The sequence below is a fragment of the Homo sapiens genome, chromosome 5 (genome assembly GCF_000001405.40).
Source record: "Homo sapiens chromosome 5, GRCh38.p14 Primary Assembly".
NCBI classification, from domain to species: Eukaryota; Metazoa; Chordata; class Mammalia; order Primates; family Hominidae; genus Homo; species Homo sapiens.
Window position 1 is genome coordinate 111,392,844 of NC_000005.10, and position 27,172 is coordinate 111,420,015.

General features: G+C 38.1%; 1 protein-coding gene across 7 annotated transcripts in view; it reads left to right on the forward strand.

Annotated features, from left to right (window-relative positions):
- Positions 1-27,172, forward strand: part of CAMK4 (calcium/calmodulin dependent protein kinase IV) — a 271,304-nt gene that overhangs the window by 169,261 nt on the left and 74,871 nt on the right. For 6 of the 7 annotated variants that reach the window (XR_948303.3, NM_001323375.2, NM_001323374.2 and 3 more), the window contains one exon: positions 1,867-1,939. Coding sequence is in view for 3 of the 7 variants with exons in the window: in NM_001323375.2 (NP_001310304.1) it covers positions 1,867-1,939 (73 nt within the window). In the remaining 4 variants the exon portion in view is untranslated. Of the gene's footprint in view, positions 1-1,866; positions 1,940-23,740; positions 23,760-27,172 lie in introns of those variants that run through there. The other variant, XM_047417783.1, reaches the window with a different exon arrangement.

Genomic DNA, 27,172 nt, shown 5'->3' on the forward strand with positions numbered 1-27,172 from the left:
TCAGGTATTATATTATACTGGATAGTAAAATAACCACCAAAGACTTCAAAAGCCAACTTGCATAGCCTATTACTGACCCAGGAAGAGCTAGAGCAGATTGAAACGTATCAAATATGGTTAAATCCATACTTCCAAAATGATACCAAAAAATGAACAAAAACACTAACTGGTCACTGAAAATGTTGGTGAATGAACTCATTATTTTGAAAACTGGTAAGTTGAAAAACTAATAATTTATCCCCTCTTTCCTATAAGAATTGTATTACTAGAAAATTTTTAGCTAACAAAGAAGCAGCAATGATAGATTTTACCAACTTGAAACTGCTAATGACTTGATGGATGTAGGCATTGATAATCAATTACTGTTATTGTCAACATGAAATGGAGCATAATTGAACATGCAACTTCTTGTGAAAATACACAATACTCCCTATAAAACGTATTTGCTAAAAATTCAACCTGAGTCTAATCAAGACCCTAATGCTATCCATTAATAAAAAGTAGAGAGGGCAGGAAATAGCTCCAAAGACATCAAGGTATAGAATGAAATGTAATCCTCTAGAATCAAATGTGATTCTATCCCCTTGATGTCTTTGGAGATATTTCTCTGCCCCTTTTTTTAATTAATAGGTAATGCTGGGGTCTTGATTAGGTTCAGATTAAATACAGAAAATGTACATATACACCATGCAATACTATGTAGCCATAAAAAGAAATGAGATCATGTCCTATGAAGGGACATGGATGGAGCTGTAGGCCATTTTCCTTAGCAAACTAACGCAGGAACAGAAAACCAAATACCACATGTTCTCACTAAGTGATGAGAATACATGGACACAGAGAGGAACAACACACACTGGGGCCTATAAGAGGGTGGAGGTTGGGAGGAAGGAGAGAGAAGATCAGGAAAAATAACTTATGGGTACTAGGCTTAATACCTGGGTGATGAAATAACCTGTACAACAAAGCCCCATCACAGAAGTTTGTGTAGCAAACTTGCCCATGTACCTCTGAACTTAAAAGTTTTGTGTTTTTTTTTTTTTTTTAAAGAATCACATTACCAAGCAGGGAAACTCTAAAGATCAAGTGACCAGCTTTCCAAAAAGAAACGCAGCAAAAGTGAAACAGAGATGGAGAAGGGATGAAAGGGAAGGATGGAAAAAGAGAAAGAGGGTTGGCGGGGGGAAGAGAGAGAGAGAGGGAGAAAATACTCGTTAAAAAATAATAAGAGATACGCTAACCATTCAAGTTTCATGGACCTTATTTGGATACTTATTCAAACAAGTAATTTAACATGTTTCAGACAATTAGAAATTTGAAACACTGCATATTTGATAATATTAAGAAATTAATTATAGGTATGATATTGGAATTATGACTGATTTTTAGAGGGTCCTTTATCTTTTAGAGATAACCTCCTCAAATATTTATAAATGAAATTATATAATGTCTGATGCGTGCTTCAAAATAATAAGGAAGGAGTAGAAGTAATTAAGCAGATAAAACAAAACTTCATGAATTTACAGATAAAGCTATGTGACAATTACATGGGGGTGTTTCATTGTATAATATCTACTGGCATATGTTTAAAATGATTCACAAAACAAAGCTTAAAACAGACAAAGTGTTTTCTCCTCAAATGCAATGGATAGTTCAAGCCAAGGAAAAATAAAAGTATTTCATTTTCCTAAGTAAACTCAAAGATTTTTAGAGTGTCAGTTTGTGGAAATCTTTCCCATGGTAGTATGGTAGCTTGTTTCAATTGTTTATGTGCACCATCTTTAACATTAATTTACTTAACTTCTTTTAATATCCATTCTTCTGAATGAATGTGCCTGAGAAGCATTTCCTTTCTTTTTGTTCCAGGATTGTGGAAAAGGGATATTACAGTGAGCGAGATGCTGCAGATGCCGTTAAACAAATCCTGGAGGCAGTTGCTGTAAGTATGAAGTAACAGCAATGGTGTAACTCTTAGTCATCTCTTCCTTTTACAGAATCATCATTTAAGAAATGCGCATCTGTGATAAGCCATACATTTTACAGCATAAAGTTGTGAAATATTTATTAGAAAATGTGTGGAATAAGGTGGGCATGGTGGCTCAAGCCTGTAATCTCAGCACTTTGGGAGGCTGAGGCAGGCAGGTCACTTAAGGTCAGGAGTTCCAGACCAGCCTTGCCAACATGGTGAAACGCCATATCTAATAAAAATAAAAAAATTAGCTGGGTATGGTGACGCACACCTGTAATTCCAACTACTTCAGGGGCTGAAGCACAAGAATTGCTTGAACTTGGGAGGTGGGGAGTTGCAGTGAGCCAAGGTCACGCCACTGTACTCAAGCCTGGACGAGAGAGAGAGAGACCCTGTCTCAAAAAAAAAAAAAAAAGAAAAAAAAAAAGAAAAAGAAAAAAGAAAAGAAAGAAAATGTATGGAATAAATTTGTATTTTCTATTGATGACTCAAAGTCTGAAAGATGCAATCCTCTATATAATGCCATAAGTGTGTTAAATTAATTTCCATTCTATTATTGTGAGACCAAATGAGATTTTGGTGCCTTTATTTGTTCTTTAACTCTTTCTTTCCCATTTCTTGAGTTTGTTTGTTCATTGCTTTTTTTTTTTTAATTTGGTAGAGATGTGGAAGAGGGTTGAATGTGATGTAAACCTTGGAGCATAGAGATTATTGACTTTTCTTTCCAGAAAAGAAATGAGTTAATTGGAAAGAAAGAATGTATCAGTTTTTTTAAGGAAGAAACATAAGTTAATATTTTAAATTGGAACACAAGTTTTGTAAGTTAATGGTGGAAATAAATACATACACATTTACAAAAATATATACTGTTGAGAAGCTTTTTTGGATTGCATTAAGCAGGTAATATTTGCCTGTATAAATCAGACTCAACTGACTAAAAGCTTCCCATGTATTTGATGTTGTCTAATATGTGCTGGAACACTTTGGTGATTCATTTATTGAATATGAAACCAGAACAAATTATTATTTGAACATTCAAGACAGGGCCCAGGGAGGGGTATTTATCAGGATCAGTTAAAGAGACAAATCTATAAAATATATCCAGAATTAAGATATACTCTATTATTCGGAGTTAGTTATTTAACTAAAATCATTATCCAATACCTTGAGAAGTCAGCCACAGTGACAGAAGCACAGGTCCTATGAGTTTTACCCACATCAAAAACAGGAAGGAGGGAAGAAAAGAGGAAGGGAGGGAGAGAGGAGGGAGGACTCTGATATCTAACTAGCCTCTGTACCAATGATGAAAAGGGAAAAAATAACCTTTGCATAAGGCTTCTAGAAATAGCCAATTGAACCAAATTTGTTATTGAGCTATTAATGCCAATTTTAATTGGCTTTATAGCCCAGTCCTTCCAAATTATTTATTCCCCATAAAAGTGTTTTGATCTTTTTGCTATGGTGAGGGATGAAAAGTTTGAAATGTGAGTGAATAAAACCTGGAGAGGATGCCAACACAGCTTCTGATTATATAAATACTGAATATCAAATTCATCTTCTCACTGTACCCAAATAGCCACCCCATTTCAGATTTTCATCACACATAACATATTTACCAATTCTGGTTTCCTAGGTTTGCACACTAGGTAATGGGTTTCAACTCTTCCATTTTCTTATCTTACATAGACCTTTCCAACTTCAGTTGAATCTTTCTTCAAATGTGCATAAACTTAATCCTGTTCTCCATCATTCTGTGACTGTTGCTGGCATGCTTTAAAAAAGAAAGAAGAAGCACTTTAATTGCCATTAACTCATATTCTTTTTTTTTTTTTTTTTTTTTTTTTTTGAGATGGAGTCTCGCTCTGTCACCCAGGCTGGAGTGCAATGACGTGATCTTGGCTCACTGCAACCTCTGCCTCCCAGGTTGAAGTGATTCTCCTGCCTCAGCCTCCCAAGTAGCTGGGACTATAGGTGTGTGCTACCACGCCTGGCTAATTTTTGTATTTTTAGTAGAGATGGGGTTTTACCACATTAGCCAGGCTGACCTCGAACTCCTGACCTCAGGAAATCCACCCACCTTGGCTTCCCAAAGTGCTGGAATTACAGGCGTGAGCCACCGCACCCAGCCACAATTCCTATTCCTAAATATATAAGTCTAGAATCATCTCTTGCAATCACTATTTTTATTTTGTTACTTCTCCATTTAATAATGGCAATTTTATACTTTTCTTAAATACCCATTTTAAAACCTCATTTCTTGTTATTATACATAATAAATTAATCAAGTAAACTTGCTGGCCATAGCCCACTATCACTTTACCTGAATCAGTCAGGCAGCTGATACAGCAGTTAAGAATACTTTGGCAGTGAGACAGAGCTAGGTTTGGTTTTTAGATGTGTGAACTTGGACATGTCACTAAATATCTTTGAGCCTCAATTTAGTCTTGTAAAATAGGCATAGCAATTAACCTAACAGGATTGTGGAAAAGATTAAATGAGATAACTTGCGGAAATCATAGCAATGTTCATAAAATAGGGAAAAGAGGGTAACCAACTTCATACTCAGCACATTCATTTAAAGATTTATTAGATGTTGTAGATGTATGCAGACACACTTACTCCCCAGCTAAGTACAAAAAACAAAAACAATTGTGTAATATTATACTCATTGATCTAGGTGCTGATTGCACAGAAAAGTTCAGTTTGTAAAAATTCAGTACACTTACATGTACTTTTCTATTCATATATTACACCAATAGAAAGTTTAAAAAGGAATTGTGCTGAAATTTTAGTATGTTTGTATGGTTATAACAGGTAATATCCTCAAGTCAGCATGCTGTGTGTGTGTGTGTGTGTGTGTGTGTGTGTGTGTGTGTGTGTTTGCAGTTTACCCACCTGGATTCATGTACTTTTTCATGTTTCTAGTTCTATCACATACTGTTGTCTAACAGATTTCTTTTTTCCTTTCTGGGACAGTAGCACATTATTCTCTGATATCACATGTGACAGTGGGTAGAGAATGTGACAATGAGGGGAGAGGGACATGTGCCCCTCAGTCTACCGCCCTCCTCTTTTTATGTTGTTCTACTGACAAAACGTTATATCAAAATGAAGTAATCTTCAAAATAATTGTTCTGAGTGATCTCTATTTGCTTATCTATATGCGAGTAACAGAATGCATATATCAGGAAGAGTGTACTGTAAGGCTACAGAGGTGTGTAAAGACAGCCAGCAGCCTGGACACTGGGCAGAACTCTTCCCCCACTGCTGCTTTTTTCTCATCACCTGCTTCCCTCTGCTCTCTTCCAACCAATAGTCTCTACTTCTTAGATCCACAAAGTGACATACGGTTAACTTAACCATCTTGCATTAGCATATTAAAGTAAAAACCTAAATCTGACTCAAAATGAACACAAATATCGTTTGATCTTAATTTCAAAATTCAGAACAGAAGCCACATGTGGCTCAACTTGACTCAGGCTTCCTTCCCTAGTCCAGTCAGCTGTGGATGGGGTGTGAATTGTGCAGTATAAATGTGGCTGGCCAGGACTGGGGATAAGGGGGGTTGTTCTAAGGGAAAGACAATAGTTTCTTTTGAACTAGGCTGCCACACCAAAAGGCATACCTTTTTCTACTATCTGTTCTGGTGGTTTTTTTGCTTTTACTGTTTCTTCATGTTTCTCTCAATTCCTAAAGTATCATTGCATCCTAGGTGCGGTTTTGAATGACAGTCTGTTGTTTGTCAGAAAACCATGATTTTACTTGGAATATGATTTCATTTCGGCGGAAGCCCTACTTGTTTATCATGTAGGAATTAACTTTTCTATTACCAAATTTAGTCACTCCTCACATTCCCACATTTCCGTCTTTGTAATTCAAGCTGTTTTCAGTAGGTGTATATTCCTGATTCTCTCATTCACTGATACCAGCAAAAAACTCTTATAAGGTTCCCTCCATCTTCTTCATCTTGGTAAATGGCACTACCATTCAGCAATTGTCTGCTAAAACCTAGAATTCACCTCACGTCCAAATAATCCCAAATAATAATCAACAGGTCCAGTCAGCCTATCTCCAAATTATAACCCAAATTTGACAATTTTTCTTCATCTGCACTAACCCATTGCCCTAGTTTCAGTCTGCATAATCTCTCACTCAGACTGCTATGAAACCTACTTCCACTCCATTCCCCTCACATTAGCCAGTTATTATTTAAATCATACATCAATTATATCATTTCCATGCTTATAGCAGCAGTGGCATCACATTGAAAGTAAAAAAAAAAATCAAAATGCCTTAACATATCGTAGGATGTCCTGCATATTCAGGTTCCTTCTCATCACCCCAACATCACTGACTACACTACACTTGAGCTACACTGGCCTTGTTTTCCGACCCTTAGAAAGGTCTCAGTTAATTCCCATCTCAGAGTAGTTGTCATTTCCTGCCTGGGGAGCTCTTCATGTCTTTCTATGGCTCATTTCTCTACTTCTTTCAGGTCTCTGCTGAAGTGTGACTTCTCCAGGGGGACCTTCCCTGACCACTCTACCTATAATAATAACCACCACTACCTCTCCAAGCCATCTTAGTTTCTATTACCATGTGGTATGTCTTTTTGCACTTATAATTATTTAAAATTGAACAGTATTTTGTCTGTTTTGTGTTTATTATCTCTCCATAAAAGTAGGAACTTTGTGCTGTTCACCTTTATATTCCCAGCGTCCAAAACAGTACATGACAAAGTAGGAGCTCAATAAACACTTACTGAATAAGTAAATGGAAATTGATGAAAACATGAAGAAAGAGCCATCATTCTGTATTTTTTCTTTCTGGATAACGAGCCATGTACTAAACATCTTTACTGTTATTTTTCTACTAATTTCATAGGAGACAAAGCTTTATAACTTACTTTTGTGAATGAGATTCTTTTTATTTCCTTACTACTGTTTCATTCTTTCCTGTCATTCAAAACTCACCTTCCTCGGTATGTTCTTTCTTTACCTCTGTCCGTTCAGATCAGCTCTTGATTCTTTAGGAGGCTTATTACAGTGGGTATGCCTCAATATAGTAATACCTCATGTAGCTGACTGGGAAACTCTCTTATTCAATTGGTGAAAAATGGATGTTCTCAGCATCAGAATTTTCCACCTGTTGGAGTTATACCAGTTAAGAAATAAAAGAGTCCAAGAAGGGATGTTCCAGATAGGGGTGCCCCACATAACACAGAAGGATAAGAGTTCCTAGAACTCTGACTCAAGTCTGCAAAGATAAATTAATTAACGTATAGCTAATCCTACATTTAAAAAGAAATTGTTGAGGGTTTGTTTTTTTTTGTCACTAAGTTCCAGTTTAGGAGCTAACACATTCAAATCAAATGTTCCTTAAAAGAAGCTTTATAAAAATCAGATTTTCTCTGATTATTGCAATTAAGGGTTAACTTAAAGAAAAAAAATTAATTTCCCTAAGAATTCCACAGGTAGAAAGCAAAGCAATTTAAAACTTGCCAGAAATGGCTGGCATTTATGAAATAGTTTATTGTCAATTACACAGCTATACATAGCTATAAAAATTGGGACAGGTGGGAACTCAGAGTAATCAGTGGTACATCTCACATTTCCTCTAGATAACTTATATCTAGGCTGGTTGTTGAAAGCATAGAAGCAGAAAACTTAAAGATTGAAAAGTTCTTGGGAAATATAATGAAAGTATAATTATACTCCTTACGTAACATATCTTGCAATCCCTCCCTCCCTCCCCATTCCATGCTAATTCTTGCCCCACATATTTTACAGTATTTCTCTGACTTTAACCTTGCTCCTTCTGCTTTTCTGGCTTTAAATAGCTTTTGTGAAAGCTTTTAAAGTGTGTTTGAAAGATGTTTCCCTCTTTGGATTTGAATTCATTCAGTCAGTCCTCGAGAGCAGACCCTTAAGTCCTCTTGAGTATTCTCTCTTCTTGAAATGAATTCCAGTGGTCCAAAGTTAAATGGTCTAGGTCAGTCTGGACATTCTGGAAGGGTCATCCTGTAGTAGCACAATACCAAACCCCTTTTCCATGGACTTGTAGGGATAATTAGGGAATATTCCCTCTCCTCTGATACTTAATTCTGCTGCCACCACCTTCAGTTCTTTCTTTGTCACCACTGACAGCTGAGTGTTTCTCTGTTTCCAAAACATCATCATCCCCTACATTATCCCCCACTGATACAGCCTTTCTTCCCTTTTTCTAGCTACAGTTCTCTTTTGTATGTCTTAATTTCAAAGTGTGACTTTGGAGCCTAGAGAAATTTGTACATATCGAACATAGTACTGCTCTGCTCTTCTCTCTTCTCTTCTCTTCCTTTTTTTGAGACAGAGTCTCGCTCTGTCGCCCAGGCTGGAGTGCAGTGGTGTGATCTTGGCCCACTGCAAGCTCTGCCTCCTGGGTTCAAGCAGTTCTCCTGCCTCAGCCTCCCAAGTAGCCGGGATTACAGGCATGCGACACCATGCCTGGCTAATTTTTGTATTTTTAGTAGAGACAGGATTTCACTATGTAGGCCAGGCTGTCAGTACTGCATTTCTTCAGGAACTACAAGGAAATGGGTGAGTAACTATTAAATCTATTTGCTGTTGTATAACATAGCTTTTTGGTTAGGTTTGTGTTAAAGACTGTGATGATGGTGGTGAAGAGTTACAACCAGAAGAATCTAACCCTTTAAAAGTCAATATGGTATCTGAGCATCAAAAAAAATAGAAAATGGACATTATTATAGAGAGGCAAGAAAAGATGAAATTGCAAAAGCTCCTTTTGATTAAAAAAATTAACCTGTAACTCACTCTCTAAAACAGAAACAGATTTAGCTTTTTACATAGGAAATCAATTGATAATGAATTGGTGACTAGATACTCAAAAACGGAAAAGGCAAAAGAGGAACACTAAGCTAAGTTATTGTGTGTGGAGGACGTGTGATAACTTCAGGAAACAGCTACCCCTAGGACTGGGGGAACAAAATGAAGAGGTTAAAATTATTAAAACATAGAGGATTGAAGGAGGTTCTCTATGGACTTGTGAAGAGGGCTCCCTGTTTGGCTGGTGTAGGTGGCTCGGACCTCAGAGGAATTTCCCATGAAGCTGGACCTCAGGTCTCTGAGGATGATGCTCCAGCCAGCCAGTGCTGGTGTTGCTGATAAGAGGCACTGAGACTGTTTCTGTTTGAGTTGCAAAAGCTGCAAACTGGATTCAACTGTTGTTCCTGGAACGACCTGCCACTGCAGGATGAAAGAGTGCTTCCAGAGAGACATAGGAATAACAAGCAGAAAATCAGAGTCAGAAAGCAAACAGGAAGGAGCAATCCCTTCTTTCTCTTCTAGCCTGCCACTCTCTCTCCCTCATGCCCTCTCGTGGCAGATCCAAATGGAGAGCCAACTGGAGAAGGAAAAATGTGGCTTGAAATTTCAATCTCAGCATCATAAAGTGGAAGAATGGGTTTTAGGTTTGGAGACAATAGCTTAATAAATTGTACAGGATGTTATTCAAAAACAAAAATAAATTATCAGTTTCTGCTTTTATTCAGAGTCTTCCAAAATGTTCATAGTCTACTAAAGTGCATGAAATGGTTCTAGAGTTCAGTGAAATCGAAATAAGAGAAGTAACACAAAAATAAATTACTGTCTGTATTTAGTACTGAGTGTTATGCTTAATGATGTTTATCCATTTAACAGGCATTATATTATTCAACCTTACATTATCTGACACATTAAAACAATCTTCCACTTTGACCTCTTATTCCTCATTGGCAGAAAGCCGATCTCCCTTGTAGGAAGATGGAAAGTACCAGAACTTATCCTCCTAGCCTCCCTTGCAGCTAGGGCAAGGTCATATTACCTGACTGTGCCCAGTGAGTTCCTTGGGACAGTTTGCTCATGAGTTTTGGGAAAAATTTTCCCTTAGTAAAGGAGACTCAAGGGAAGAAAAGCCATTTCTCCTTTTCACTGGCCTGGTTGGGTCTGCATATGATGCTGGGAACCGCTTTTGCTATCTTGTAATTATGAAGAGAAACATAAGTCATCCTGAGGAAGGCAGGGAAGAAAGATGACACCATTGGAATTCTCCAACTTCTTGATATCTCAGGGAGGATAAATACAGTTTCTCAATGTTTCGGTTTTAAATTATATGCCCTGTTACTTGAAGCAATAAGATACTGAACCGTTTTTTCAATAAACTTTTTGAGTATATGCTAACAACTTTTCTGTGGTCAGAGCAAGCTGTATAATTTTCCATCCATTTAAACATAACAGAAAGAGCATACTTCTAAATAAAAAGATTCTGGTCCCACAAATTTCTAAAAACTGATTTTCACTGAATATCAAACATACACCCACATATTGCTAAATCAGGATTAAGTATGATTTGAAGGGACAATGAAGTTTAAGGGTTTTGAAAATAAAATTGCTTTTGACACTTGTTTTTTGTTTCTATGAATGTCATTCCTGCTTGAATCCACTTCTTGTCAATTAATAGGTTCAGAGAGTTCAAGTACGTAATGAAAGGTTAAAACAGAAAATGCAAGTTTTTTTGTTGTTTGTTTGAAACCTATCAGTTCCTATGGTATTTTCATTTCTTTCTCTGGAGACTTTTGTTTCTTGCTGCTCAGGTTTGAGCACTGATCTTTGGAGGATAGATTTTAATTAATACAAAGTTTTAAGAGTTGAAGCACTAAAATGATAATTTTACCTGTAAAAAGTAAAAGTGGTTTAATTCATATTAAGAATTGAGAGATCACAGTTCCCAGAGAAGAAATAACAAGCTGTTCTCTTAATGTTATAATATTTTGATTTATAGACATAGAATAAAGTAGACTAGGGGCCCAATCAGAGCATAGACATTTTATCAGAAATTTTGGAACAGAATAATAATCAACATTCTGAAATTACAGTGCAATATTGGGACACAGAGGATCTAAAAACAATTCCTGGGCAAGGGAGGGGATTTCCTTCTCATTAAATGTTTCTGCACACCATTATCACTAATGATAATGATATCAAAATTTTACCGAATTCTGCCTACATGGACTTCCCTCTTTTGATTCTCAAGTGAGCCACAATAGATTCTGGAGCATGTGTCTAGGAATTTTCTGATCGTCTTCGTTAACTTAAAAATCACTCAATCTATAAATTTGGAAAGGAGCCTCTATTTCTTATAAAAGGTTACAGGCTGTAAGGTGACCCTTTGAAAGGTTGGGAAGTGCAGCCAGTGCAGCCTGCAGCAGAGCCTATTAGCAGGCATTTTGAAGGAGGAGGGGTCGGGGTAGGAATTTTATGTTGAATGGGTTGGCTAAGCATACATATTTAACATGGTACAGTAGGAGTTATGAATATTGATGAAGACAGTCTTAACATATGCATATTGAACAAACATGCATGTTACATGTGACCCATGTTCACTTTGGGATGGAGACTTAACAACTAAATGTATTATAATTGGGCCCTAAATGCCAATAGGCACTTGGGACACAAGGACACTCAAGTGTGCAGCCTCTGTAAACTGTCTAGAACCAGTCCATGGTCAGTTCTTATCTGGAGAAAGTTACTGAAATCAGTCTCTTGTAATTATAGCTGGTGAAACAGGGGCTGAGGGTCAGTTAATCAGTGCCTAGGGGAGCTGCAGTTGTTTGAACATTGCTTATCTCAAGGTCAATGCTTGTTTAGCTGCTAGAGAAAAAGAAAAACCTTGTGGCAGATAGAACATAGTTCATTATTTAAGTGTGGGGATACATGACTTAACTCTTGTCTGTCATGGCCTTAGGTCCTGTTTATAAGTTGGTATTTCATTGCCACAAAGAGTCTGTTTTTGTCAGTCTTAAGATCTCTATTTTAACACGAATGCTGGTCAGTTGTTGTGTCTAAACTGCAAAAGGGAGGAAGTATAATGAGTCATGTTTGACCTCCCGTCCCATCATAACCAAGAACTCCATTGTTAAGGTTTTTCTGGGGTCTCCTTGGCCAAAAGGAGGTTCGTTTAGTTGGTTGGGGACTTACTATGTTATTCTTAGCTTACACCATATATAAAATATTATTTTGATGATTATAGTCTAGATGACTTTTGTTGTTTGGGGGTTTTGTTAATGTTGGATAAGATCAACAATTCAATTCAACAATTACTGATTCCCTAGTTTATTCTAGACTTTGTTCTAGACTTTGAGATACAGAGGTCAAGAAATTCACCAATAAACTGGGTGGATAGACACATAAACACATGGCTACAAGATGGTAAAAGTGCACTTAGTGATTCAAAGTCATCAGAGAGGGAATACGCTATTTGATGTATCTAGAGAGAAACTGAGTCAGAAAATATCTTGCCAGAGAAAGTTGTATCTGAATTGGAGTTTAAAAGAAAATTTGGCTGGGTGTGGTGGCTCACGCCTGTAATCCCAGCACTTTGGGAGGCCAAGGCGGGCGGATCACAAGGTCAAGAAATTGAGACCATCCTGGCCAACGTGGTGAAACCCCATCTCTACTAAAAATACAAAAATTAGCTGGGCATGGTGGTGTGCGCCTATAGTCCCAGCTACTCAGGAGGCTGAGGCAGGAGAATCATTTGAACCCGGTAGGCAGAGGTTGCAGTGAGCTGAGATTGCACCACCGCACTCCAGTATGGCAACAGAGCAAGACTGCGTCTCAAAACAAAACAAAACAAAAAAAAAGACGAAGTTTATTGTTTAATTAACAGCCAATATGAAAGAAAAGGAATTTCCATAATACTCCTTTTTTCCCTTTTTAGGGAACATAATAAAGGTACAAAGGCACAAACTCTGGTCTTTAGTTATTTCTTGAAAGTAAGGTACATATTGTGAGAACCAAGGCTTAAAAAGACAGGGAGACTGGCCTGGAGGGGCTCAGGTGACTTACTAAAATGGTTCACATGATTCTGCAGATGAAGAGGTCCTGAGGGACTTTTGCTATAAGACCATCACCCTGATGGCAGCATGAAGTCCGAAAGCAGTGGAGAGGATATTAAAAATGGCCGGTCAAGAAATGAAAAGCACGACCTTCCCCTCAAAAAGAATAGTTTTTGAGTATGTGAATGAAATTTGCTAACCAACTAAGCTCAAAATTTCCCTTAGATCTTTACTGTCAAGATCTATGAGTGTTACATATATGAAGAGTTGGGTATAATGAAAAATAATTTAAAGTAGGAAACTGCAGATAGCAGGACTTAGAGGATCAATGAGAACTTTTCATCAAACTTTCTCACCTTTATTAACACTTAGCATTACATTCTTTTTTTTTTGTCACTTCTCTTCCTACTTCCTTTATAAGGTTTTATCTCATTCTCTTCTATCTGGTCTAGTAGTTCCTCTGATTACCTCTTTCTCTTCCACTCCTGTTTCCTTCTCCTAATTTATTTTCTCTCTCTCTCTCTCTCTCTCTCTCTCTCGTTTTTGGTTTTTTAGACAGAGTCTTGCTCTTGTCACCCAGGCTGGAGTGCAGTGGTGTGATATTTTGGCTCACTGCAACTTCCGCCTCCCTGGGTTCAAGCAATTCTCCTGCCTCAGCCTCCTGAGTAGCTGGGACTACAGGTGCCCGCCACCATGCCTGGCTAATTTTTGTATTTTTTGTAGAGACGAGGTTTCACCATGTTGGCCAGGCTGGTCTTGAACTCTTGACCTCTGATGATCCACCTGCCTCGGCCTCCCAAAGTGCTGGGATTACAGGTGTGAGCCTCCGTACCTGGCCAATTTTTTTCTTTTTACGCTCTTCTTTTTCCTTTGCTTTATTTGAGAACTAATGATTAATTAAAGAACAATAAAAATAACAAACTTTTTAAAGACCCACTAAAGCTTCTAGACCAGATGACTCTGGGCTCACTTTGCACACAACATGAATTCTAGGTCCCGAGGAGAGCTACTGAAAGTAAACGCAAGACACAGTCTCTTTCTGAAAGGTGATTAAGAAAAGAGGATAATAAAGCAACATCTAACTTATTTATCTTCCTTGGAAGAGAATACCTCAAGGAAATGCCTCAGGATTAAGATGAGTGTCTTCACTTTTGCAAAAACTCAATTAAAGTGCCATGAATATGAGGTTATTTAATAGATATGACCTGCCTCTTCTTTGATATCCTTGGATTATGATCTTTAGAAGTTAATTCAGCAGCTATTCTGTTAGGTTTCAGTTGATTTAATTCTCAGAATCATAGGCTTTTAAGTAGGAGAATTAGACAGCCTCAAATCAGGATGAGAAATATGTCTAGTTAATAGTGGCAGCATGAAAGAAAAACACAAGGCCGGGTGCGATGGCTCATGCCTGTAATCCCAGCACTTTGGGAGGTCAAAGCAGGTGGATCACGAGGTCAGGAGTTCGAAACCAGCCTGGCCAAGATGGTGAAACCCATTATCTACTAAAAATACAAAATTAGCTGGGCATGACGGCAGCCACCTCTAATCCCACCTACTCGAGAGGCTGAGGCAAGAGAATCGCTTGAACCTGGGAGGCGGAGGTTGCAGTAAGCTGAGATCGCGCCACTGCACTCTAGCCTGGGTGACAGAGAGAGACTCCTTAAAAAAAAAAAAAAGAAAAGAAAAACACAAAAACAACACCCCAAAGTATACTAATAGAGAAGTACTCACAGTGTCCTTTTGAGGTCCAGAAAGGCATGCACTGTTTCTGATTATCATGAATAAAGAGAAGGAAAAAAGTGAGGAATCAAGCTGTAAGGAAATAAGCTTTTAAGATTACACATTTTAATTACATTAAAAAATGCTCATTCCAAACAAGTATATGTAGACCATGACAGGAAGGATATTATCACAATATCTTAAACAAACAACAACAACAAAAACAACACTTTACCCTAATTGACAATTTGGCCTGTATGTATTCTGTTCTTATGATATTCAATGCTCTGAAAAGCTGAAATCATGAACAAGGAATTCTGCCACCCACAATGGCCTCCCTCAGAGGACAGTGTTTTCTTTAGATATATAGATATAGTTTATGTGCAATAGCCTCTACCTACTGCAGGCCACAAGAGAAGGGCTTAAGAAAGAATGACTAGGCTGGGCATGGTGGTTTATGCCTGTAATCTCAGCACCTTGGGAGGCTGAGGTGGGCAGATCACTTGAGGTCAGGAGTTTGAAACCAGCCTGGCCAACATGGTGAACCCTCATCTCTGCTAAAAATACAAAATTAGCCGGGCATGGTCCCAGCTACTCAGGAGGCTGAGGCAGGAGAATCGCTTGAACCTGGGAGCCAGAGGTTGTAGTGAGCCAAGATCACGCCACTGCACTCCAGCCTTGGCAACAAAGTGAGACTCCATCAAAGAAAGAAAGAGAGAGAGAGAGAGAGAGAGAAAGACTCTGTGGGAAATATCAATGTCTCATGACTTAAAGGTGAACAGTGATCCTTTCTTTTTATAAGTGTTTCCCTCTAAGGATGGTGTATTAGTCTGTTCTCATGCTGCTAATAAAGATATAGCCCAGAGTGAGTAATTTATAAAGAAAAGAGGTTTAATGGATTCACAGTTCCACATGGCTGGGGAGGCCTCACCATCATGGCAGAAGGCAAAGGAGAAGCAAAGGCATGTCTTACATGGTGACAGGCAAGAGGGCTTTTGCATCGGATCTTGTGAGACTTATTCACTACCATGAGAATAGTATGGGAAAACCCCTCTGCATAATTCAATTATCTCTAGCTGGCCCCACCCTTGACACATGGGGATTGTTTCAATTCAAGGTGAGATTTGGGTGGGGACACAAAGCCTAACCATATCATTCTGCCCCTGACCCCTCCTAAATCTCATGTCCTCACATTTCAAAACCAATCATGCCTTCCCAAAAATTCCCAAAGTCTTAACTCATTTCAGCATTAACTCAGAAGTCCACAGTCCAAAGTCTCAGCTGAGACAAAGCAAGTCCCTTCTGCCTATGAGGCTATAAAATCAAAAGCAAGTTAGTTACTTCCTAGATACAGTGGGGGTATAGGCCTTGGGTAAATACAGCCATTCCAAATGGGAGAAATTGGCCAAAACATAGGTGCTACAGGCCCCATGCAAGTCTGAAATCCAATGGGGCAGAAAAATCTTAAAGCTCTGAAATGATCTCCTTTGACTCCTTGTCTCACCTCCAGATCATGCTGATGCAAGCAGTGGGCTCCCATGGGCATGGGAAGCTCTGCCTCTGTGGCTTTTCAGGGTACAGCTTCCCTCCCAACTGCTTTCATGGGCTGGTGTTGAGTGTCTGTGGCTTTTCCAGGTGCACAGTTCAGGTTGTTGGTGGATCTACCATTCTGGGTCTGGAGGATGGTGGCCCCTGCTCACAGCTCCACTAGGCAGTGCCCTGGTGAGGACTTTGTGTGGGGGCTACAACCCTATATTTCCCCTCTGCACTACCCTAGCAGACGTTCCCTGCAGCATACTTCTGCCTGGGCATCCAGGCATTTCCATACATCCTCTGAAATCTAGGTGGAGGTTCCCAACCTCAGTTCTTGACTTCTGTGCACCCACAGGCTCAACACCATGTGGAAGCCACCAAGGCTTGGGGCTTGCACCTTCTGAAGCAATGGCCTGAGTTGTACATTGCCTCATTTTAGCCATGGCTGGAGCTGAAGCAGCTGGGACACAAGGCACCATATACCCCAGACTGCACACAGCAGGGGAGCCCTGGGTCAGGCCTATGAAACCATTTTTCCCTCCAAGGCCTCCAGGCCTGTGATGGGAGGGGCTGCTGTGAAGGTCTCTGACTTGCCTTGGAGACATTTTCCACATTGTCTTGGTGATTAACATTTGGCTTCTCATTACTTATGCAAATTTCTACAGCAGGCTTGAATGTCTCCCCAGAAAATGGGGTTTTCTTTTCTATCATGTCAGCAGGCTGCAAATTTTCCAAAATTTTATGCTCTGCTTTCTCTTGAACACTTTGCTGCTTAGAAATTTCTTCTGCCAGATACCCTAAATCATCTCTCTCAAGTTCAAGGTTCCACATATCTCTAGGGCAGGGGCAAAATGCTGCCAGTCTCTTTGCATAACAAGAGTGACCTTTACTCCAGTTCCCAAGAAGTTCCTCATCTCCATTTGAGTCCACCTCAGCCTGGACTTTATTGTCCATATCACTATCAACATTTTAGTCAAAGCAATTCAACAAATTTCTAGGAAGCTCCAAACTTTCCCACATCTTCCTGTCTTCTTCTGAGCCCTCCAAGTCCCTAGGAAGTTCCAAACTTTCCCACATTTTCCAGTCTTCTTCTGAGCCCTCTAAACTCTTTCAACCTCTGACTGTTGCCCAGTTCCAAAGTCACTTCCACATTTTTGGGTATCTTTACAGAAGTGCCCTTCTACCTGGTACCAATTTACTGTATTAGTCTGTTCTCATGCTGCTGATAATGACATACCTGAAACTGGGTAATTTATAAAGGAAAGAGGTTTAATTGACCCACAGTTCCACATGGTTAGGGAGGCCTCACAATCATGGCAGAAGGGGAAGCAAGACATATCTCACATGGCGACAGTCAAGAGGGCTTGTGCAGGGGAACTCCCATTTATAAAACCATCAGTTCTCATGAGACTTATTCGCTACCACGAGAACAGTATGGGGAACTGCCCCCAAGATTCAATTATCTCCACCTAGTCCCACCCCTGACACAAGGGGATTATTACAGTTTAAGGTGAGATTTGGGTAGAGACACAGCCAAGCCATATCAGATAGTAAAGAGTGAATAACACTACTGTATGTCTGTGTTATTCTTTCATTGATTGTTTATTGGAGGATGGGTTGGGACCATAAAATTTTTTTCCTTACTCTGTGGTAGTAGTTGTTTGCCAAAAAGCTGAAGTATTCCCTTAGGGAATAAAGTTCTGTTTTGTATTATATGGGCGTGATGTGAATTTACTATTTATGATGTCTTTGACCCATAAAAAATAAATTTTTATTTGGTAATGGCTAATTCAGGAGGGGTGTTGATAAAATGAACAGTTCTCTGCGATAATCAGGTAGGATATATTTTATTTCTGGGTCAGAAGGAGAGCTTCAAGGCAATGCTATAATAATATTCTGTTAACTTCACTGCTTGACCGTGGAACTTTGATTTTATTATTATTAAACAGTAATAGCCACACACTTCCTAGGTGTTGGTAGAATCATGTAAAATGGTGGTGTTGAAATTTCCAGATTAAAAAAGAAGGTACCTCCTGGTGCTTCATTTTCTTTTCTCAGATTTTTTTTGTTGTGTTCAATGAAAACACACACACAAAAGTTTCAAAGTTTTAATGCTTCTAGGACCAAGAGGTATTTGTCAACAATCTTCCAAACTCTAAAAGGAATCAGCATTGGAAAAGGTAAAGATGGATCCTAAGGCAAGACAGAAGAACCAAGCAGGAGGAGACTTGTGTGTTCTCACTCACACCTACTGAGATCCTTTACCAAGACATGGGACACAGACAGAGTTAGCATCCAGCATCTTATTTTATGTGAGTGGCTTTCTCTGAGAGCCAAGTCTGTTTCAAATCCTTTTTCTTCCCACCATAGCAAAGCTTGGACTTTAAGTCTCATAATTGCAAAAGAGTCAGTAAAAGCCCCTGGAATGTGACAGCAGTTGTAGGTTGGGCTAAAGGCAGCAGGATCTATGGAAGTATTAGTTCTAAGAGTTGTCAATTCTTATGTAATGCTTTATGCAAGAGAAGGCAACAGATTGCTCCAAATTATTCAGAAATAAATTCCGCATAGTCAGGTGGAGGAACAGATGACTCTTCCACTGTGCATCCAAACCACAACCTGATAGGAAATTGCTGGAGGCTGGAAACATGACAAGAACTGCTTCACTGGAACTTCAGCATAGAAACAAGACAAGTGGATTCTCCTTTGTGATCATCACTATTTACAATTAAGGTAAATGATGATTTACAATTAAGATAAATGGTGATGATCACAAAGAAGAATCCACTTCTGTTTTCTATTGGCAAACATTAGACTTGCACTAATCCCTTTTTAATTAAGTTTGGTAAAGAGGAATAAAAAATATGAACTTTTCAAAATATCCTAAAATACAAAAACAGGAAGAAATTTGTCTTCAAGATATAGAGTAACAGCATACTTTTGGAAAAAGACATTAAAAGGGTATGGAAGATATCTTTTAAAAGCATCTGCTCTGTTTATTCAAAAAGATTCATGTGTTTTGACATTGAAACAAGCTTGATGTTTAAGAAGTTATTAATCACCAGCTTGAAATAAAAATAAAGCTCTGCTTAGGAGCATAAATGATAAGGAAGCATAATATAATAATAAAAGGTTACAGAAACCAAATTAAAAAATTAAAATCTGAACTAAAAATAGTAAAGTGCAGAATTGAAGTTGTAGGTAATTATTTATTCAGATGCAAAATGTAATAAGATTTACAAAAATGCAGGAAGAAAAGAGAAAAGATGCCACTAATAAGAAAGTCGATAGTAGATATGGCAACAGACATTCAGTCTAAAAAAACAGTTTTCCCAAAGAGGAGATGAGCACTCTATAAAACAGAGACAGTAGTCAAGGATATAATAAGAAACCACTTTTTCATGCAAAAATAAAAGACTCCATGTCTCATTTTAGTCAAAACTGAGTAAACTGATAAACATCCAGATTTACCCTGTTGTTTTTGAACATTTCAAAAATAATAGCAACATTTTAAACAGAATGCCAGAAGAAGATAAACAATATACTGGAAGGACAAAATCAAACCAGCCTCAGTCCTCAAACCAGTATTTAACACTAGAGGACAATAGAGCAAGTGTCTACAGGGAAGAATGCATTGTAATCCATGAATTCTACAACCACTAAATTGTCATTCATAGGTAAAGGCAGCAAATATTCTGAAACATCTGTAATATATAAGTAAGGTAGAAGGTGGGACTCAACTCTGGAGGCAGGGCTCGAACACTGGACCAAATTGAGGACTAGCTAGAACAGAGACTTGGTGGAAGCTGCTTTCCATAAGACACAGCTACCAGTGTGTCATCTTAGTTTATCACTGCCATGGCTACACCCAGAAGTTACCACCTCTTGCCATGATAATAACCGCATGACCCAGAAGTTACCACCCTTTTCCTAGAAATTTCTACATAATCCAACCCTTAATTTATATGTAATTAAAAGTGGGTAAAAGTATGACTGCAGAATTGCCTCTGAGCTGCTACTCTGGACACATTGACTATGGGGTAGCTCTGCTCTTCAAGAAGCAGTAATTCTTGTACTGCTGTACGCCGCTGCTTCAATAAAAGTTGCTGTCTAACATCATGGGCTCGCCCTTGAATTCTTTCCTCGGTAAAGCCAAGAACCCTCCCAAGCTAAGCCTCAGTTTGGGGGCTTGCCTGTCCTACATCATCAGTATTCAGAAAACCTGCCTAACATTAATTTTCTAATGGGAAATAAATATTTTAATGATATATTTCAGCCAACTAATAAATAAAAATAGGATTTTAAATGGGGAAATTGTCATATAAAAGGTTTGGAGGCAGTTATTAAAATTATTATGGAGCTGCCCGGGTGCAGTGGCTCACGCCTGTAATCCCAGCACTTTGGGAGGCTGAGGCAGGCAGATCTCGAGGTCAGGAGTTTGAGACCAGCCTGGCCAATATGGTGAAACCCTGTCTCTACTAAAAATACAAAAAATAGCCAGGGATGGTGATGTGCACCTGCAGTTCCAGCTACTAGAGAGGCTGAGGCAGAAGAATCACTTGAACCCAGGAGGTGGAGGTTGCAGTGAGCCAAGATCGTGCCACTGCACTGCAGCCTGGGTGACAGAGCAACACTCCATCTCAAAAAAAAAAAAAAATTATTATGGAGCTAAAGCTATGAATTGTTGTAAAACTGAATGCAGTTGTCAACGAATTTTGAAATAGAAAACATGTAATGTAAAAAAAAATGCTTAAGCCTAAAATAAATATAGCCATAAAAGCCAAGAGTCAGTAGATTTGGTTTCATTCTTGATGTAGGATAAACAGAAAATATAGGTTCAAATATTTTGTAAAATCACTACCAATACGCTTAAAAACTAGAGATATATTTTCTAAAGCACTAGAGAAAGCAAGGGCAAAATATAACCCAAAAAGTTCATAAAATGTTTTTAAAGTGGAAAAAGAATAAATGTATAAAAAGTGTCATAAACTGATAATAAATTAGAAATTTAAATATAAATCTATATATATAGATAACTATTATAATGGTCAACTAAAATTATCTTTAAAACTTATGATAGCGAGAACACTATATATCAAAACTTTTAGAATTCTGTTTCTGAAGCAAATTTGTAACTTTGAATAAAAACTGCTCCCAATTTTTACAACCCTTCACTTGCTGTGAGTCAGACTTTGGACTAAGTATTCAGGACCAGGGATAATTAAGTGACTGAGATGCTGCTAACTTCAGAATTGTCTCCCCTGAAAACCCTTTGTTACTCCCAAAGCACAGAGTATTGCCTGATGCTATCCTGAGAAAAAAATTTAGTTCTTTGTACCAGTAGATTCTGGCTGCCAAAGCTTTAAGCAAATATATCTAAACCTAGAAATGTATCACTTAGACTAAACTGCAGCATCCCCCTCTTCTTTCCCCACTTCTCCACCTCTCAGCAGCAGCAGCAGCAGCAGCAACAGCAGCAACAACACCATCCACAATACATTACCAGGTTAATGATTTAAATCAACACCAAACATCAGCATCTTCAGTAATATCAAAGATACGGCAAAAATGACTCCATTACCACTATTAGTTAACATAATTTTGCTAGCCTGATTCAGGGCAATAAGACATGACATAGAAATAGAATAAAATAGAAAAGGATAAAATGAAATAATTATTTGCATATATGATTGTGTTCTTGGAAAAACAAAATCTATTGGATTGTAGAAGCAGTGAAAAATATTGTGGTCAAATAAAAAGTATTTTAAAACCAATATTTAGCCTATATAACAGGAAAAATAAGTTAGAAAATGGAATAGAAAAAAGTCTGTTTATATTAGTACTAAAATTATTTAATAACTAGGAATAAATTATCCAAAAATGAATGAGACCTGTATAAATAAAATTACAGCATTTAAAGAAAGACACAATAGAAGACATATGTACCATATCCCCTAGGTTCAAATATTTTAGAGATATTATTTCCTCCCAAATTAATGCTGTTAGAATTTCAGCAAGGGTTTTGTTTTGGGATCCAATAAAGTAATTGTAAAATTCATCTGGAAGAATAGTCTTAGACAAAAAAAAGAATAAGGAAGAGGACATTTCTCTGCCAGATATAAAAATGTTGTACAGTGCCCCTGTCATCATAGGTTTCACTTTCCACTATTTCATTTATCTGTGGTCAGCTGCTGACTAAAATTACTAAATGAAAAGTTCTGGAAATAAACGATTCATAAGTTTAAGTTGTGATCTGTCCTGACCTGAGTAGCCCAATGAAATTTTGCGCCTCTGGCTCTGCCCCACCCAGGATGTGACTCCTCCCTCTGTCCAGCATATCCATGCTGTATACCCTCATGCTCTTTCATCACTTAGCAGCCATCTTGATTATCAGATCAACTGTGGCAGTATGGCAGTGCTTTTGCTCAGGGAACCCTTATTTTACTTAATAATGTCCCCAAAGTACAAGAGTAGTGATATTGCCAATTCAGAATGCCAGCGAGAGCTGTGAAGTGCTTCCTTTAAGTGAAAAGGTGATCATTATTGACTTAATAAGGAAAGAAATTATATGCTAAGGTTACTAAGGTCTACAGTAAAAATATGTTCTAGCCACAAAATTATAGATGGGAAAAGAAATTCGTGCATAGCATATATAGGTTTCAGTATTATCCATGGTTTCAGGCATCTACTGGAGGTCTTAGAATGTATTCCCCACAGATAAAGGGAACTAGTATGTTGCAAAGAATGATCAATGGAATACAGTAGACACTTGAGCAAGAAACTCTAGTTTTATACAGATTTGATACAGTGGGTCCTCTGTACCTGTATAAATCTCTAGGTTCCACATCCATGGATCCAGTCAACCTTGGCTCAAAAATATTTGGAAAAAAATAATAAAGAATAACAAAATAAATAAAAAACAATGCAGTATAACAACTATTTACATAGCATTTACATTGTACTAGTTATTATAAGTAATCTACAGATGATTTAAAGTATACAAGAAGATGTGTGTAGTTGTATGCAAACACTACACCATTTTATATAAGGGACCTAAGCATCACTGAATGTTGGTGTCTGTGTGGGCCTTGGAACCAATCCCTCAGGGATACTGAGAGAAGACTGCATAAAGGCATCTACATGAATAGAGAGAAAAGGATATTCCAGTAACTGCTGTTGGGGGAGTTAGTTAAATATTTGCTGGAATAAACGTTAAATTCTTATTATGATATACCAAAATAATTTCCAGAAAAATTAAATAGAAAAGTAACTATAAACTATGCATATATATGAACAAACTCCCATATACATGCACATATATAAACACACACACACACACACAAACAAGACTGGAAGCAAAACCATTAACAGTGGTTATTTCTTGCCAGAGGAATATTACATTATATTAATATTTTCTGCATTTTAGAATCTTCCACATCTCTATAATGAACACATATTGCTTTTAATAAATAATAAATATTGTTAAACAACAAAGATGAAATTATCCAGAGAAAGGATGTTAATTACAAATGAGTAAAATGTATGAATAAGAAAGAGTTGTATGCTTTAAGGTTACAGGAATATTCCAAGATACATAGAACCTCAAGATGTTGGATATACCATCAGACTCCCTGGATTCAAGATTTTGTTCCACCTTTGTTTCACCAGGTGCGAGAACCTTGGGACCTCTCATTTATAAAGTAGAAATAATAAGGATGCTGTGAAAGTCATTGAGTTTGCATGTGAACTATTTCCAATAATGTGAGACACATAGAAGGCATTCAAAAACCATTAACTACTGCTATATGCAAAAAACTTAGCTAAAAATTTCATTATAATTTGAAGGACTGATAAATTAGGAAGACACTACTATTAACATATTAATACCATAATACTAATGTTATAATTGTATTATAAATTGTTAATAAATTAATATTATTCAAATTTAGAGTAGAATTTTGACATCTTCCATATGTTATGAACATTCATAGTCAAAAGTAAGGACAACTGCTTAGGTGTTCAGCCAGTCTTCCAAAAGACTAGTCATGATGTTTTAAAGTGTGTAATTGGAACTATTTTGGTAAATAAATATTGGATTCAATTTATCAACTTAATTTTTTTATTTGTATGTATTTGTTTATTTTAGAGGCACAGTCTCACTCTGTCACCAAGGCTGGAGTGCAGTGGTGCAGTCAGAGCTTACTGCAGCCTCAATCTTCTGTGTTCAAGCAGTCTCCCACTTCTGCCTCCTGAGTGGCTGAGACTATAGGCATGTGCCATCACACCCAGCTAATTTTTTTTTTTTTTTGAGACAAAGTCTCAGTCTGTCACCCAGGCTGGAGTGCAGTGGCCCGATCTCAGTACCTCCGCCCCCCGGGTTCAAAGGATTCTAGTGCCTCAGCCTCCCAAGTAGCTAGGATTACAGGCGCCACCACCACGCCCAGCTAATTTTTGTATTTTTAGTAGAGATGGGGTTTCACCATGTTGTCCAGGCTGGTCTCAAACTCCTGACCTCAAGTGATCCACCCGTCTTGGCCTCCCAAAGTGCTGGGATTACAGGCATGAGTCACTGTGTCTGGCCCCAGCTAATTAAAAAAAAAAAATTGTAAAGAAGGGGTCTCATTCTGTTGCCCAGGGTGATCTCAAACTGGGCTCAAGTGATCCTCCTGCCTTGGATTCCCAAAATACTGGGATTACAGATGTCAGCCCCCATGCCTGACCAATTTATCAACTTTGAAATTAACAAGTTAGTATGCCTGTTCAACTCAAAATGATTATAGGAAATTTCCAGATATTTGACTTTGCAATAAGATCTCCGTGACAAATGCTTTTAAAAGCATGTGTGGTTGTACACTTGCTAAGCCTTGTATTATCTAATAATTCAAAACGTCCATTTATTACCTTAATTTGCTGACTTCTGATATCTTTTACCCTGGTGATATATTTTTGTATTTGCACTTTAACCTGTTTTGTCATTGGAGACTATTGTAATATTTTATTGTGATTTTTAAATGTTAATTTCCATCCATGCAGTTTTGTGATACTTACAACTGATATTTTGGAGGTTTTTTTTTTAGGAGAATATGAGTCCTGGGGATTTTCATTTGGGAAAGTCCTAAAAATATATCTGTTGGGGAATCTGCCCCCATATTCACGTAGGTTCTTTTCTGTTTTCCTTAAGCGTTGGCCAGCTTGAGAAATAAAGGGACAGAGTACAAAAGAGAGAAATTTTAAAGCTGGGCATCCAGGGGAGACATCACATGTCAGTAGGTTCCGTGATGCCCCACAAGCTGCAAAAACCAGCAAGTTCTTATTAGGGGTTTTCAAAAGGGGAGGGAGTGTGCAAATAGGTGTGGGTCACAGACATCAAGTACTTTACAAGGTAATAGAATATCACAAGGCAAGTGGAGGCAGGACAAGATCACAGGACCACAGGATGGGGTGAAATTAAAATTGCTAATGAAGTTTCAGTCACCATTGTCATTGATAACTTCTTATCAGGAGACAGGGATTTTTTTTTTATATACTTTAAGTTTTAGGGTACATGTGCACAATGTGCAGATTTGTTACATATGCATACATGTGCCATATTGGTGTGCTGAACCCATTAACTCGTCATTTAGCGTTAGGTATATCACCTAATGCTATCCCTCCCACCTCCCCCCACCCCACAACAGTCCCCAGAGTGTGATGTTCCCCTTCCTGTGTCCATGTGTTCTCATTGTTCAATTCCCACCTATGAGTGAGAACATGCGGTGTTTGGTTTTTTGTCCTTGTGATAGTTTACTGAGAATGATGGTTTCCAGTTTCATCCATGTCCCTACAAAGGACATGAAGTCTTCATTTTTTATGGCTGCATAGTATTCCATGGAGTATATGGGCCACATTTTCTTAATCCAGTCTATTGTTGTTGGACATTTTGGTTGGTTCCAAGTCTTTGCTATTGTGAATAGTGCCGCAATAAACATATGTGTGCATGTGTCTTTATAGCAGCATGATTTATAGGCCTTTGGGTATATACCCAGTAATGGGATGGCTGGGTCAAATGGTATTTCTAGTTCTAGATCCCTGAGGAATCGCCACACTGACTTCCACAATGGTTGAACTAGTTTACAGTCCCACCAACAGTGTAAAAATGTTCCTATTTCTCCACATCCTCTCCAGCACCTGTTGTTTCCTGAATTTTTAATGATCGCCATTCTAACTGGTGTGAGATGGTATCTCATTGTGGTTTTGATTTGCATTTCTCTGATGGCCAGTGATGATGAGCATTTTTTCATGTGTCTTTTGGCTGCATAAATATCTTCTTTTGAGAAGTGTCTGTTCAAATCCTTCGCCCACTTTTTGATGGGGTTGTTTGTTTTTTTCTTGTAAATTTGTTTGAGTTCATTGTAGATTCTGGATATTAGCCCTTTGTCAGATGAGTAGGTTGTGAAAATTTTCTCCCATTTCGTAGGTTGCCTGTTCACTCTGATGGTAGTTTCTTTTGCTGTGCAGAAACTCTTTAATTTAATTAGATCCCATTTGTCAATTTTGTCTTTTGTTGCCATTGCTTTTGGTGTTTTAGACATGAAGTCCTTGCCCGTGCCTATGTCCTGAATGGTATTGCCTAGGTTTTCTTCTAGGGTTTTTATGGTTTTAGGTCTAACATGTAAGTCTTTTATCCATCTTGAATTAATTTTTGTATAAGGTGTAAGGAAGGGATCCAGTTTCAGCTTTCTACATATGGCTAGCCAGTTTTGCCAGCACCATTTATTAAATAGGGAATCCTTTCCCCATTTCTTGTTTTTGTCAGGTTTGTCAAAGATCAGATGGTTGTAGATATGCGGCATTATTTCTGAGGGCTCTGTTCTGTTCCATTGATCTATATCTCTGTTTTGGTACCAGTACCATGCTGTTTTGGTTACTGTAGCCTTGTAGTATAGTTTGAAATCGGGTAGCGTGATGCCTACGGCTTTGTTCTTTTGGCTTAGGATTGACTTGGCGATGTGGGCTCTTTTTTGGTTCCATATGAACTTTAAAGTAGTTTTTTCCAATTCTGTGAAGAAAGTCATTGGTAGCTTGATGGGGTGGCATTGAAT